General features: G+C 33.8%; 1 protein-coding gene across 2 annotated transcripts in view; it reads left to right on the top strand.

Moving 5' to 3' along the window:
* The window catches only part of IBTK (inhibitor of Bruton tyrosine kinase), a 77,758-nt gene that overhangs the window by 42,639 nt on the left and 20,164 nt on the right, over window positions 1-14,955 (top strand). The window contains exons 17-25 of one of the 2 annotated variants that reach the window (NM_001300906.2): window positions 148-249; window positions 2,461-2,578; window positions 3,624-3,684; window positions 4,398-4,519; window positions 4,853-4,965; window positions 8,705-8,808; window positions 10,464-10,627; window positions 13,227-13,319; window positions 13,890-14,033. In NM_001300906.2, the coding sequence (NP_001287835.1) occupies window positions 148-249; window positions 2,461-2,578; window positions 3,624-3,684; window positions 4,398-4,519; window positions 4,853-4,965; window positions 8,705-8,808; window positions 10,464-10,627; window positions 13,227-13,319; window positions 13,890-14,033 (1,021 nt within the window). Of the gene's footprint in view, window positions 1-147; window positions 250-2,460; window positions 2,579-3,623; window positions 3,685-4,397; window positions 4,520-4,852; window positions 4,966-8,659; window positions 8,809-10,463; window positions 10,628-13,226; window positions 13,320-13,889; window positions 14,034-14,955 lie in introns of both variants that reach the window. The other variant, NM_015525.4, reaches the window with a different exon arrangement.

Raw genomic sequence — 14,955 nt, 5'->3', positions numbered from 1 at the left:
TCTTAAATCTCTTTTCTAGTGTACTAATTACTTCAAATTTTTTTTTTACTTAAATCTCTTTTCTAGTGTACTAATTACTTCAAATTTTTTTTTCTAGGTATAATGTATACAAAGAAAAAGTGATGCTTGTTTTCTTTCTTTTTTTAGAATCTCAAAATGTAGATTTTATTTGTAGTGTTCTTGTGGTGGCTGATCAACTTCTCATAACCCGGTTGAAAGAGATTTGTGAAGTAGCATTAACTGAAAAACGTGAGTAATTTTGAGTTTGAATATTAATATGTTTTCAGGTTCATCAAGGATTACTGTACTTTATTGACTTTATGATTCCACTTATGGTAAAATAGACCATTTTTTTGGTACCACGAAAACCTGCCAAAATATGTAAATTATTACATGCCATCATTTGTAAGTGAATTCTTATTTTAGAAATATGTGAAAATATATATGACTTAGAATTGAAATGTAATATTTGTATTGAAATGTCATAAAACCTTGAAGAATAAAGATGGTGTCAGATTTATTTGCTAATTTCAAGGGTGAGAGTTTAAAAGTGAAATTTTTGTACTCTTGCCCTGATCTTGGCTTTAGGTGTTTTTAGCTACCCATTTTCTACTATTTGCAGTGATTTTAAAAATTTAACTTTCCCATTATATATCTGAACAAAGCACATCTCTTTTTTTCTTGAACTCTTCTTTCTTGCTCTCTTCATTATCTTAGTTAATTTCATGGCTATCCTCCTGAACACTGTACTTTGAAATCCAAAATGAGTTTTTCTTTATTATTTTGGCCCTGACACTCAAATTCATTCAGTTGTCAAAACTTATTCCTTTTAACTATGTTGGTCACATTTCCCCTACCTTTGGGTTCTCACTGTTACTATGCAGTTGAGGTCACTGTTATCTGTTCCTTCTGGGTAGTGTCACAGTAGTGTTTTAAATGCTCTTTCTCCTGTCTACTTCTGTTTCTTTAAGCTTTCTGTAGGAAGTAGTTACATCTTCCCCCTGTTTACATATTTATAATTGCTTACTCTAGAATAAAGGTTAACTTTCCTTAGCTTCCACCTGACAGCCTTTTTGACTTTCTAATCTTATATCTGTTCTGCTTTACTGCTACTTCAAGAAGTGTGAAGGGAATTCCTGTCCATTTTTTCTAGTTCATACTTGCTAGGAGTTTGTCTTGGCTTTGGCATTTTAGTTCTCACTTTTCTTGAGCACTGTAGACTGTCTACTCCTTGGTTATTAAATAGAGAACAACAGCCCTGATCTCCTTTTAAGCAAGAAAAGAAAAATATTCTAAAATAAAGGACACAGCATACAACAGGTATAAGACATACATATAAGTGATATTTTACACTTGTACAGTTGCCTTTGCTGGTCTTCTTCCTCAGTGTTCTTTCATGGCTCTGGCTGCACAGTTGCCTTTATTAATTCCTTGATGTTCCTAGAACCTAGGAAAAGGAGGCTACCACCTCCTTTGGTCTCTGATTATTAGGAATATGTGGATACTTGTTCCCATGTGAACAACTCTAAAGAAGTTTTTATATGATCTAATTTTATCATTTCTTCAATTTCTCTGTTCATCATTAGTTGAAAATGTAGATTAGTCAGGAGTGAGACAGAGACCATTATTGACTGCAGTTGCAACTTTTGATAGAATCACAGGTGAGAAAGAAAAAGAAATGCAAGAAGCCAGATGTAGAAAACAACTGTGTTTCCCTATTGGCTGGTACTGATAGAGTAATTAAGAAAAATAGTGGAGGGAACAGGAAGCTGAAAGTTACCTGTTATGTAGGTAGAATATTCTGGGAGAGTCTCTAGGAAAATGGGTACTTTATATATAATGTTACTACAATTGTAACTAAATCCAGAATCTTTTGCACAGTATATCAGATTTTTCACTGGTGTGAAGAATATTATGATAAGATTGTGATGTACGTATTTTCAAAATATGTATATATTTATATACTTACATGTATATATATACACCCACATGAATTCTGATAGATAACTCAATATATTTTATAGAATTATTTCATCAGTTTTTCTTAGTTTTATATCTTTTTTAGTTTTATGGAAGAGGGAATAACTGCTATGTAAATGGAAAGGAAAGTTGTTCATTAATAAAAGCTTTTTAAAAATATTCAGAAAATGTTAGGTGGAAGATTGTCAGTTCTTATGTGTTTGCTTTTGGGTGGCACTATGCCCCTTCTGTATTCTGTTTTGCTTAGAATATGCTTGTGTGTGAGCTTATTTTTCCTCATAGCCAATCTTTTGAAATTACTTTGGCATATTGGGATGGAAGAGTTACATATTTGCCCCAGTATTAACTTATTTTTGGCAAGAAACTTTTTTTTCTTTATTCCAAATGTTCAAATCGTACAGCTTTAGACATAAATGTATTTTATTTTGCTGTGGTAATGTGCCTTTTATCTAATTTTGCAAATCTTTTCTTTCTTTGTAGTTACCCTGAAGAATGCTGCTATGCTACTGGAATTTGCAGCAATGTATAGTGCAAAACAGTTGAAACTGTCTTGTTTACAGTTTATAGGATTGAATATGGCAGCTTTACTTGAAGCAAGGTAGGTGAGGTGCATATGTTGTAAGATTGTTGCAAAAGGAGATATTTATATATAATAGCAGATATTATTAGTGATTTAAATGTGAATAATGATGTTTACCTGGATGGAAAGAATTTGATCAATGCTGATGATTTAGAAGTTATGTACATTTTAGAATTAGAGAGCTCTTGAAAACTTTTGAATGTTTTTAACAGTGATCTTTTTAAAATGAAATAAATGTATACTTTTTTAAAAATATAAGGTCAAAATATTTTACTTCCTATAAAGTCATTGGTGACAATATGAGAACACAGAAATTTGAGATTAGAGTTCCTGGTGTCAGTTTTTATTTTAAAGCTTCATTGTTTAGTTTATTTTTATATTTTACTTCAGTAGTAATGACTATTAACTATGTGCTAGACGGTGTTCTAAAAGCATTACATAGATTCATTTAGTTAATTTTTATGAAACTCTTATGAAGTAGAGAAGATTCTTTGTACATTTATTTATAATAGTTGCTTGAGGCCGGGTGTGGTGGCTTATGCTTGTAATCCCAGCACTTTGGGAGGCTGAGGCAGGTGGATCGCCTGAGGTCAGGAGTTCAAGACCGGCCTGGCCAAGATGGTGAAACCCTATCTCTAATAAAAATACAAAAATTAGCCGAGCGTGATTGTGTGTGCCTGGTAGTCTCAGCCACTTGGGAGGGTGTGAAGCAGGAGAATCACTTGAACCCAGGAGGCAGCAGTTGCAGTGAGCTGAGATTGCACCACTGCACTCCAGCCTGGGTGACAGAGTGAGACTCCATCTCAAAAAAAGAAAAAAAAAAAGAGTTGCTTGAGTTTTATTCAAGATATTTGTGTAATATGTTTGCTTTGCTGTTTATTTGAAATATGTAATATACAACCACATCTATTTCCAAAAGGAATTTGTAGCAACTGCTATATATAATGCTTAAAAAATAACTTTGTTACTTATCTAGCAATATGAAATATCTACGTATGTAAGCAACTTGACAGTTATCAAGTCACTTGAATCTTAAGATAGAATTTTGTATCCTATATTTTAGGTCTCTTGATGTTTTAAGCGATGGTGTTTTGAAGGATCTTTCTGAGTTTTACCGGAAAATGGTAAGGTTTATGTTTTAAGATTTTCGCGGCTATAATATTACCAGCTTAAGCAGTATATTAGATCAGACTTATTAATGGAATAGTTTCCTAATGACTTCTAGTACATTAGGATCTTTTAAAACTGATGATATAGGATTCCTTTACAGATCTCACAGATACATATGATAATCAGAATTCAAGATACTTAATAATAAAGTTAATATTTATTAATTTCTTTATAAATGAAAGTTACTGAAAGCCTCAGAGTAAGTCTTTTGTTATTTACCAGAGGTCAGGACCGTGCAAAAACATGAATTCATATGATCCCTAAGAAATGAATAAATCTATCTTTAATAATAAAGTGGAGCTTTTTCTCAAGTTTCCTTTTTGGCAGGTTTATGGAATAAAGTTTTTATTGAATTGAATCAAAATTTAACCCCCTCTTGTAAATTTAGGAAGTTATTGAGTATTCAAGGCTGTTCTAGTTAATGTCACCACATATTAAAAATGGAATATCTTACATAATTTAAAAAACATCTTTAGGCTGGGTGTGGTGGCTTATGCCTGTAATCCTAGCATTTTGGGAGGCCAAGATGGGAGGTTTGCTTGGGGCCAGGTGTTCCAAACAGCCTGGCCAACATGGCAAGAGCCACGTGTGCACAAAAAAAAAAAAAAAAAAAAAAAAAAAACTTCACAGATTTTGTATTTGAAAAGTGATATCTTCAATTCTGCAGATTCCAGCAATGGATAGAAGAGTCATTACACCATATCAAGATGGACCAGATATTAGCTATTTGGAAGTAGAAGATGGAGATATCTTCTTGAAAGAAGAAATAAATATGGAACAAAATCATTCGTAAGCTGTTTTCTTTTTTTTTTTTCTTTTCCTCCTTTTCTTCCTTCTTTTCTCCAGTGTGTCCCTTCACTCTCATCTTGGACATATGACACTTTTGTGTTGGTATTGGAAGATGAAATTGAGAAATTCTGACATAAGAAATAGGTAGTTACGCTCATTCTTAACCTTGGTATAATACAAAGTAAATACATAATTAATATCTGTAGGTCTAACACATTGAAAGTGTAAATATTTTAAAAAGTAGCCTTCAGGTTAAACATGTTGGGTTAAATAAGTGCATTTATCTTAGTTACCTCCCTAAACACTGCTGAAATTATGTTTGCTTTTTCCTAGGGAAACTATGTTCAAGAAAGCAAAAACAAAAGCTAAAAAGAAGCCACGTAAACGTTCAGATAGTTCTGGAGGTTATAACCTTTCAGATATTATTCAGAGTCCATCATCTACAGGTTCGTGGAAAGTGAGCATGTATTTCCAGTTCTAATCTTCTATGTCTCTATTCACATATGTCATCTGCTGGGGCTACTGAAATAAACAGTCCTTATGGAGGTACCAAAAGTGATAGTTTATTGTAAGTACTCCAGTTGAAGTTTGCTCTGGGAGCACAAAAGAGGTACTCAAACTAATCTGAGATCAGGGAAGTCCTCTTAGAGGAAAGCAATGCTGAGCTGAGTCTTGAAGAATGAAGTTATCTAAGAAAAGGAGGCAGATAGGTATATTAAGCAAAGGGGGCAATGTGTTCCCAAGCTTAGTAGCAAGAGAAAGAGTTGCACATTTCTTGTGCATATAGTTCAGTATAGGAGATAGGTTGGATAGGGTCAGATTTTGGAGGCTCTTATATGCCAAACTAAGGAATTTGTGTTTTATTCTAAAGGCTATGGGTGGCTGTTGATGATTTAAAACAGGATGTGACTGGATGAGATTTGTTTTTAGAAAGACTACTCTTTCCAGTGGCATAGGGGTTTAGAGGTTGGCAAAACATGACAGAGATAACTATTATCATGTTGATTCAATTTAAATATGTCAGTACTCCAAGTAAGATGCCATTCATATGCATAAGGGGGTTGTAATCTGGTAGTAGAATATAAAATGTATTTAGGCATTATGTGAGCCTGTTTGAAAGTAAAGGTCAGGTTATGTAGTTTTTCTAAAATATTTTTCCCCAGTTTTTTCTTTTGAGAATATTTAACTTACTGAAAAGATGAAAGAAAAATACCATGAACACCTATGTACATTTTATTCAGATTTATTGTTAACTTCTCATCACATTTGCATTTTCTTGCAGACTCTTTGTTGCTTACTGTCTCCTCTTTCCTCCATGTGTTACACACACACACAAACACACACACACACAATACAGAGACTTAAAAAAAAATTGTTCCACTTGGAATAAGTTGTAGACATGATACTTTTCCCCCGAATACTTGAATATGAATCTTTTAAGATGGGAATACTCTTCTACACAACCACAATACCATTATCATACCTGAGACAATTGACATTAATTAGTGTTAATTAGTATTATACTTCATATCCACATTTTCCTAATTGTTGACAAATGTTTTTATAGTCTTTTTTTTTTAACATTAACAAAAAAACTAGTATTCTATCAAGGTTCATATTATCTTTGCTTATTAGTATCTCTTTAGTCTCTTCTAACTAGTATAAAACTGCTGTACTTTTTTGTTTTTTGTTTTCTCTTTTCCAAAAGGTCAGTCCAATTGTGTTATAGACTGTCTCACATTCTAGATTCATCTGATCTAGATTAAACTATATACGTTTTAGTAGTTTCTTTAGATAAAACATGAATTGTGACTATAAAATAATGAGACTACAGTATGGCTTTCAGAAATGGTAGGTTACTCTTGTCTATAGCACTAAGGCATAACCTAGTACAGTTTCTGCTAACAGTACTTCATAGTCAATCAGCTGTATACAAACAACTTTGAAAAATAGAAGAGTACATTGTTTTGTGTCCCTTTGGAAAAAAAAGCTTGTTAGGCAGGGCAAAGAAGAAGGATTTTTTTTTTATGTTTACTGAGATGCTTCAAATTAGGTGCTTGATATGTTCACTAAAGCTCAAAGGAATAATGTCAAGAATAGTTTTAGATAACATAAAGATAAAAAAAGGATAGATAATATGCCTAAAATTTATTTATGAAGCAATGAAAATAGGAATCAGGAGACCTAGTAAATGGGAAAGCTATTATCTTAGGACTTTTCTAAATTTAAAATTCTGTGACTCTGTGTTCTCTGTGTTGTATGAATTACCGTTAGTGTTTAGAAGGAGGCAGGGGTGGATTGATGGAAGGATGAATAATGGATAGACAGTCTTGAAAGTAATGACTTTCCAGTCACCTAAATGACTTATGGAAAAGCAGATATTTGGTTTGTTTTAAATAATGTTATTGTTACCATATGTGTTAGAATCTTAGAATTTCAGAGCTAGAAGAGACATTAGTAATGAAATAATTTATGTCCCTTACTTTAAACCTAAGGAAAGAAGCTCAAAAAACATAAGTGATTTGAAGTAGTGACCAAAAGAAATAAAATTTGTTCTCTTGATTCCAGGTCCGTATTTTCCTGGTGTACTGTTCTTTCTGTGGCCAGGATATCTGTAGTCAAAGATAACTAAAAGGTCAGATTTAATTGGAGGCCAAAAAGACCTGTTAAGGAAGAAAATTTGAGTATGAGGCCAATTTCATCAAAGACAGTTGCGTAAAAGCTTAACATCTGTGTCGATCTTAAAGTTAGACAAACGGCATTCAGCAAAACTGTTTTTGACCAGAAGTAATTGTTGGCCACATTAATTGTCCTCTTTTTTTCTGGATTTATTTCTAACTGACTTTTGAGAGTGTTCTAATATTAGATGTATTCTCTTCGATGAAAATTTGCCAGCCTTAAAAATATTCAAAAAGAGGCAAGACGCAGTGGCTCCTGCCTGTAATCCCAGCACTTTGGGAGGCCAAGGCGGGCGGACCACAAAATCAGGAGCTCCAGACCAGCCTGGCCAATATGGTGAAACGCTGTCTCTAGTAAAAATACAAAAAAAATTAGCCGGGCATGGTGGTGCATGCCTGTAATCCTAGCTACTTGGAAGGCTGAGGCAGGAGAAACACTTGAACCTGGAGGTGGAGGTTGCAGTGAGCTGAGATCATGCCACCGCACTCCAGCCTGGGCAATAGAGTAAGACTCTGTCTCAAAAAAAAAAAAAAATTCAAAAAGATTGTGTGGCAAAAAAAATGTTTAAATGTTCTTTCCAAATTGTAGTGATAACAATAAAAGAAACATTTAGCTTGTTAAGGTGATTTACTTTAAAGAGAACAATGTATAAGAGATGGTAGGTTTTATTTTTAAATCAATTATACAGCTTTTAGTTACAAGTTAGATAACATCTTTATTTTATAGCTTATTTTGGTACTTCATTTAGATTCTAATAAATTTGAAATGTGTGGAAATGGACATGTGAATCTAAGCAAAAGTTTGAACCTGGATACCAGGTGTGGCATGAGGCCAGGCATTTAGCTTGCCTAAGAGAAGAAATGATATATACATTTCACAACAACCCTCTTGCTTCAAGCGAGCTCTCAATAGCCAGAGATTTCAGGGAAAAACACACTTCAAACAGGCCACAGTTGTCTTCTGCGGGAGCCTCTGCTATGGGGTCAGTCAGCTGGCTAAGTGAGAGGCAAAAAGGCCACAGGGTTCCTCCCACATAGAATGAAGCTACCCCCTTGCTTGGGTGCGGAGACCACTGTACCAAGAGACAGATGAGAAAGGGAAAAGAGGTCTGGATTTTAATTATTTTCCCTTTCTCCTTTGTCTCTTATGCGGACAAAAATATTTTAAATCACTTTTTAGAGCAGATCCCAAAGAACTATCTTCCTCAGGTTCATTACACAATTGGTGTGTGATTGTAATGAATAAAATTATTGTTTTAGAATCTCTTCCATTTCAGTTTTTCACTTAAACTGATTTCTTTCTCCAGTTAACTTGAATTATTAAGATTTTTATACCATAAATATAATTTGAATGTTATTAAATCTGGATAAATGAAAGCTTTTTTAGCTCTCTGGTTCATGGAATGTAATGCATATATGTTTAATGCATATGTGTTTAATTTTTTTTAATTTCATGTTTTAGGATTATTAAAGTCTGGTAAGACCAATTCTGTGGAATCTCTTCCAGAACTGTTGACATCAGACTCTGAAGGAAGCTATGCAGGAGTGGGTAGTCCTAGAGATTTACAGTCCCCTGATTTCACAACAGGATTTCATTCAGATAAGATTGAGGTTTGTTTTTTGAAGCACTACCTCCTTACCTTCAGATTTTAGATTTATAGATGGTTTATCTTTAATATTTCCTTATTTTTGCCCTAATTTTAAAACAGTTTCCAGGTTGGTATATAAGAATCACAAATATAGTGTTAGTTTTCTTAAATTTGCACAACATTTCTATTTTTAGAGATTGTAATGGCAGTTTTGAGCCCTTTATGATGTTATTTCTAGTCTTTGTGCAACTAAAATATAATGTTGATGTAAAATATAATAACACTATAGACATGTTGAAAAAATATATTTGTAGCTAAATTATTGAAATTTATCTTGTGAAATGTCAGTTAACATCAGTTAAAAATTGTCAAGGCAAATGATTTCGAAAATAAGCCTACTTTGAAAGTTCGCAGTCTCTTTCCTCCAGGGTATTAACTGGAGCAAAACAATTTGGAAATGATTTGAGTTCTTCTCCTAATCTAGCACATTAAGCTGCAGGATTCCTAGCCTAATCAGCTCTGGGGAGGGCATTTCTTAGACACTCCTTAACATTTGATTCCATAGCTGTTAACCTATTAGAGAAAAATGTGTAACTGAATAGAGATAGAGTCACTTTTCTGTAACTCCTACACATCCACAAAACGTATCGGAACTTCTAGGAATTCATAAGACAACAGAAGTTTACCCTTTCTTCTTAGAGTCTTTTAGGCCTCAAGGATTGATTTGATTTTTTTTTTTGAGACAGGGTCTCTCACTCTGGTTGCCTAGGCTGGAGTGCAGTGGTATAGTATCAGCTCACTGCAGCTTTGATTTCCCGGGCTTAGGTGATTCTCCCACCTAAGCCGGCAGAGTAACTGGGATTATAAGCACGCACCATCACGTCCAGCTAATTTTTTTATATTTTTAGTAGAGATGGGGTTTTGCCGTGTTGCTCAGGCTGGTCTCGAACTCCTGGACTCAAGCAATCCACCCACTTCAGCCTCCTAGAGTCCTGGCATTACAGATGTGAGCAACCACACCCCGCCAGGATTGATTTTTTTTAAAATATAGGATAGAAGTTTGGGGGCAATTTATATTCACACTAAGGTTGGTCTGTAAGACAATTGAGGTTTAAAGGAAGGCTCAGGGTATATTGTGAGTGATTTACAATAACAGAAGAATCTATCCTGGAAATAGACATATCATTTTAATAACTTCCTTGACATATTACAATAGCAGTAGTTTTAGGGTTCCTTTCAAGGTGTCAGTATTATTTGACTTTAATTTTATTCACAGTACTTTACATCAGAGTGAATTATATGACATTTATACAAAACTTTCATTTTGTTTCATATTCAAGCCATGGATATTAATTTTAAAATTACTGCTTCATGTCTTATTTGTACAACTTTTATATATTACATGTTAACTATTTGTGTAGAGATTTAATATGCAAACTAGTTTCCCTAAAAATTATTTTCAAAGCTCATAATAATTCAGTTATAGTCAATAATGTGATTTGAGAGTTGGCTAAGGCACAAAACTGTAGAAGAACATGATTTGAAAATACTAGATGGCTTATTGTCATAAGATTTTATTCTTCATTATAATGTAACTAATATTTATTAAGTACCAGCTATGTGTTAGTTACTGTTCTAGGTGCCTGTTAACTTTTTTTATTTTTTTTCTCTCCCCAGGCGAAAGTCAAACCGTATGTTAATGGTACATCTCCTGTGTATTCTAGGGAAGATTTAAAACCATGGGAAAAGTCACCAATACTTAAAATATCTGCTCCACAGCCTATTCCCAGTAACAGAATTGATACTACCAGCTCTGCCAGTTGGGTTGCTGGTTCTTTCAGGTAGGATTTTTATTTTATTCTATAACTGTTAGTTTGAGAAATGTCATTCATTTTTAATGCAATTTAATTTTTTAATGATGAACATTTAAGAAATATTAATATAAATTTCTAATGCACAGAAAATTGCCTAAATACCTACAAATTGCTAACCAGCTATAATAGGCTTCCCCCCCAACCAACCCCAGGCAAAATTTAGTTGCCTTTGTATTATCATCAGTGAATAGTAGCAAATACTATGTTTTACGTATATAGAGAGAAACTTAGTATCAGTAGTTATTTCTTAGATAATATGTATTGGTTAAAAATGCTGCACAGGAAGACAATTTTGTCAATCATAGACTTTATCTCTTAGAGCATGTGAAGGGGTATTTAAAATTTCACAAAATGTGTAACTATTCAGTTAATTTTCAGAGGATATTAATTTAATGTTATACTATCCTTTTAACTTGCCTATATTATATATATATTTTTTCATTTATTTAGAAAAGTCAAATGAAGGCTGGGCATGGTGGCTCATGCCTGTAATCCTAGCACTTTGGGAGGCTGAGGTGGGTGGATTACCTGAGCTCAGGAGTTCGACACTAGCCTGGGCAACATGGTGAAACCCCATCTCTACTAAAATACAAAAAATTAGCCAGGCGTGGTGGTACGCACTTGTAATCCGAGCTACTTGGGAGGCTGAGGTGGGAGAATCGTTTGAACCCGGGAGGCGGAGGTTACAGTGAGCCCAGATCGCGCCACTGCACTCCAGCCTGGGCAACAGAGCAAGACTCCATCTCAAAAAAAAGAAAAAGAAAAGTTAAATGAGTAGCAGATGTAATTAGAATGTAGTATTCTTTCAAAATGTTAATTAAGCTTGTGCTTCATGTTTATATGCCTACAATGGTTGATAAAGTCTAAAACTGTTAATTGACATATTATCATCTGGACTGTTTAATTCTTTTGAAATAGGCTATATTTTGCAGAGTTGGAACAAAGATTATGATGTTCCATTTTATGTGCTTCATGGTTTAAACTTTAGTTCAGAAATTAGTTTCAATTTTTTTTTTTGCATAAGTACACAAATTGGTAAATATTTAATATGTGGGAACATCTGGAAACATCTTCTGATTGCTAATGTTAGGATATTTTGTTAAACATGTTTTAAAAATACCCTGGTCTACAAGATAGATTAGGCTATTTCAGTACTATGCTCATTGACAAAATGCATAGCAATAGGCAATAAACATTCTCAATATTGACATATACACAAACATTTCTACATTCATTTTGTAGTATTGCCTAGTGTAAATAATAAGTAGAATTTGTTTTTGATGAAAGAAAAAAAGTACAGGAAACAGGTTCCCTTTAATATGAAGTAATATGACTTTTTTTTTTTTTTTTGAGACAGTCTTGCTCTGTTGCCCAGGCTGGAGTGCGGTGGCACGATCTCGGCTCACCGCAACCTCTGCCTCCTGGGTTCAAACGATTCTCCTGCCTCAACCTCCCGAGTAGCTGGGACTACAGGCGCGTGCCACCATGCTCAGCCAATTTTTGTATTTTTAGTAGAGATGAGGGTTCACCATGTTGGCCAGACTGGTCTTGAATTCCTGATCTTGTGATCCGCCCACCTCGGCCTCCCAAAGTGCTGGGATTTCAGGTGTGAGCCACTGTGCCTGACTGACTTATTTTTATCTGTAGTGTAGATTTCATTTAGGTCGAAAATCATCTATTTCTTTTTTTTTTTTTTTTGAGACAGAGTTTCGCCCTCATTGCCCAGGCTGTAGTGCAGTGGTATGATCTCAGCTCACTGCAACCTCTGCCTCCCAGGTTCAAGCGGTTCTCCTGCCTCAGCCTCCCTAGTAGCTGGGATTACAGGCGCCTGCCACCACCCCTGACTAATGTTTATATTTTTAGTAGTGACGGGATTCCACCACATAGGCCAGGCTGGTCTCGAACTCCTGACCTCAGGTGATCCACCCGCCTCGGCCTCCCAAAGTACTGGGATTACAGGCTTGAGCCACCACACCTGGCCAGAAATCATCTATTTCTAATGATTGTAGAATTTTGTCATTATGGTATAACTTCCTCTGGTGGGTCTCCAATATTATTTAGTATCCCCAAGTTTTTCTATTAAATGTTTGTTTTTGTTAATATTAAACAGTAGAATGAGTTTTGTTTGTTAAAAATAGAAAGGAAAGAATGTAATTTTCAAGCTTCATTTAACCTAAAGGTAAGAATTTAATTAGAACTTTGGTGAGTTTTTCTGCCTAATTTAGTTAAGAATCTTTCTATTGCTTCACTTTTTTTAAAAAATGTTTTTTTAAATATAGGAATTTCAGTTATATCACAACATTATGACTTTGGATACATATTAGTTGTTATTTGTATATGTGCTATATCACTTAACATTTTGGATATATATTAGTTAATATTTATATATGTGTATATAAAAGTAGCTTTTATTCAAAATATCCTTTATGAAACTGGCTCACAGCTGATAAATCTAAATTATACTCTGATTATTAATCTCACATATCACTTATCATTTCAGTGAAGTTGGGGGTTGGGCTTTATAGGTAAATGAATGCTTTGCAAAGTAACCTTTTATGTCTTTTAGTCCTGTCAGCCCTCCTGTTGTGGATCTCAGAACTATCATGGAAATAGAAGAAAGTAGACAAAAATGTGGAGCTACACCAAAGTCACATTTAGGGTGGGTTGAAAACATTACAAAAGATCATTTCATGTTGTATTTCTGCCCTAAGAATTGGACAGACTTACTGCATCTTTCTTATTATTTTTCTGCATTTGATGTTATAGTTAATTATACATCCTTTTCTGGGCAATTTAGCCTCCATAATATTATTTCTTAAATATGTGCTAAAGATAGAGTTGAGTTGATAATCCAGCTCTTGTAGAATACAGTATTACATCCCAGAAACTTGACTCTAAAATGATCATTGTGGACTATTGGCTACAAAAGCCAAAGAGTTAAGGCTTGTGATGCAAGTTCTTTTTGAAATTTGTGATATGTTGGAGGGCTCATATGTAGCTATTACTTGATCATTGTTAGTATAAACTGATATTTTCATTGTTGAAACTTGTGAGCATTTTGATCCAATAATGGTAAAATAACATGAAATAAATAGAAAACATTATTATTACCAGTAACCTTTATTAAGCAGAAATTAATGTTAATTGATATAATTTCTAGCAAAATGATTTCTCATGGAATTAAACTTTGTCAGAAGAAACCACTGAAACTAATTGGTTTAATTTCTAGCAAAACAGTTTCTCATGGAGTTAAACTTTCTCAGAAGCAACGAAAAATGATTGCATTGACTACCAAGGAAAACAATTCAGGAATGAATAGCATGGAAACAGTTTTATTCACTCCTTCAAAAGCCCCCAAACCAGTGAATGCATGGTATGCTCTTATTTTTATTAAAATTAATATAGATTTGTGCATTTGCTTTTAAGGTAGTACTTGACTTTGGAGTTCCTTCCCACTTCCAGTGTTTCTAAAGTCTTTTCAAGTATTTTATCTCCCCTTCTGTTTTCAAGTTAAAAATTGGAACTTGGGAAACAAACACTTTTTTTGTTGTTGTTTATTTTCTTTTAATTTGGGGTGTTTTGACATACAAGTCATGATGACACACATCATCATACACATCAAAATGTGGATATATTTTTCATATATAGATATAATTTCTTCTTGATATTCTAATTAGATTTTCTTGCTAAAGTGATTTAAAATTTATTTTTATTTTTTATAAGAAATTAAATACATCAGACACATATAAAAAGAAAACTTTATTTATACTACGCTAATTTCTTTGTCCTTCTGCATGCTCCATAAATATCTTTACATGGTTATAATCATAGCTTGTTATTTTTCACTTTTTAAAACACTGCTCCTTACTTAATGTTGTGTTTACATTTTCTCCATTGGAATTTACACATAGTGGCAGCATTGGAATAACCTCCAAAGAGGTCAGATATAATTTTGAGATATGTAAAATAGGTTGTACTCCAGCTTCCGTTCCATCCTTCCTTTTCTTGTAACTTAAAATATCTGGAAACCAATACTGGAGAACTACATGGAGAATGTGAAGCCTTACGAAGAAATCAGTAGAACTCTCTTTCTCTCACAAGGACTGGGGAGGATCTTGGCAGCTACCCATGGTTTAGGGGAATCCTTTCAATGTTTCTAAGGCCACATTATTCTGTTTGTAAGAAGGAATATTTTTCTCAATTAAAATGTTAATTATTTTGAAGAAAGTGGCAAATAATTTTATTCTAAATGTTACCAATGGAACTAAATCAGTGCTTGTTAGGGCTATTAGTAG

Source organism: Homo sapiens, chromosome 6, assembly GCF_000001405.40.
Source record: "Homo sapiens chromosome 6, GRCh38.p14 Primary Assembly".
Classification (NCBI taxonomy): Eukaryota; Metazoa; Chordata; class Mammalia; order Primates; family Hominidae; genus Homo; species Homo sapiens.
The sequence above is the reverse complement of the archived record's forward strand: the minus strand, read 5'-3'. Positions and strand labels throughout refer to the sequence as shown.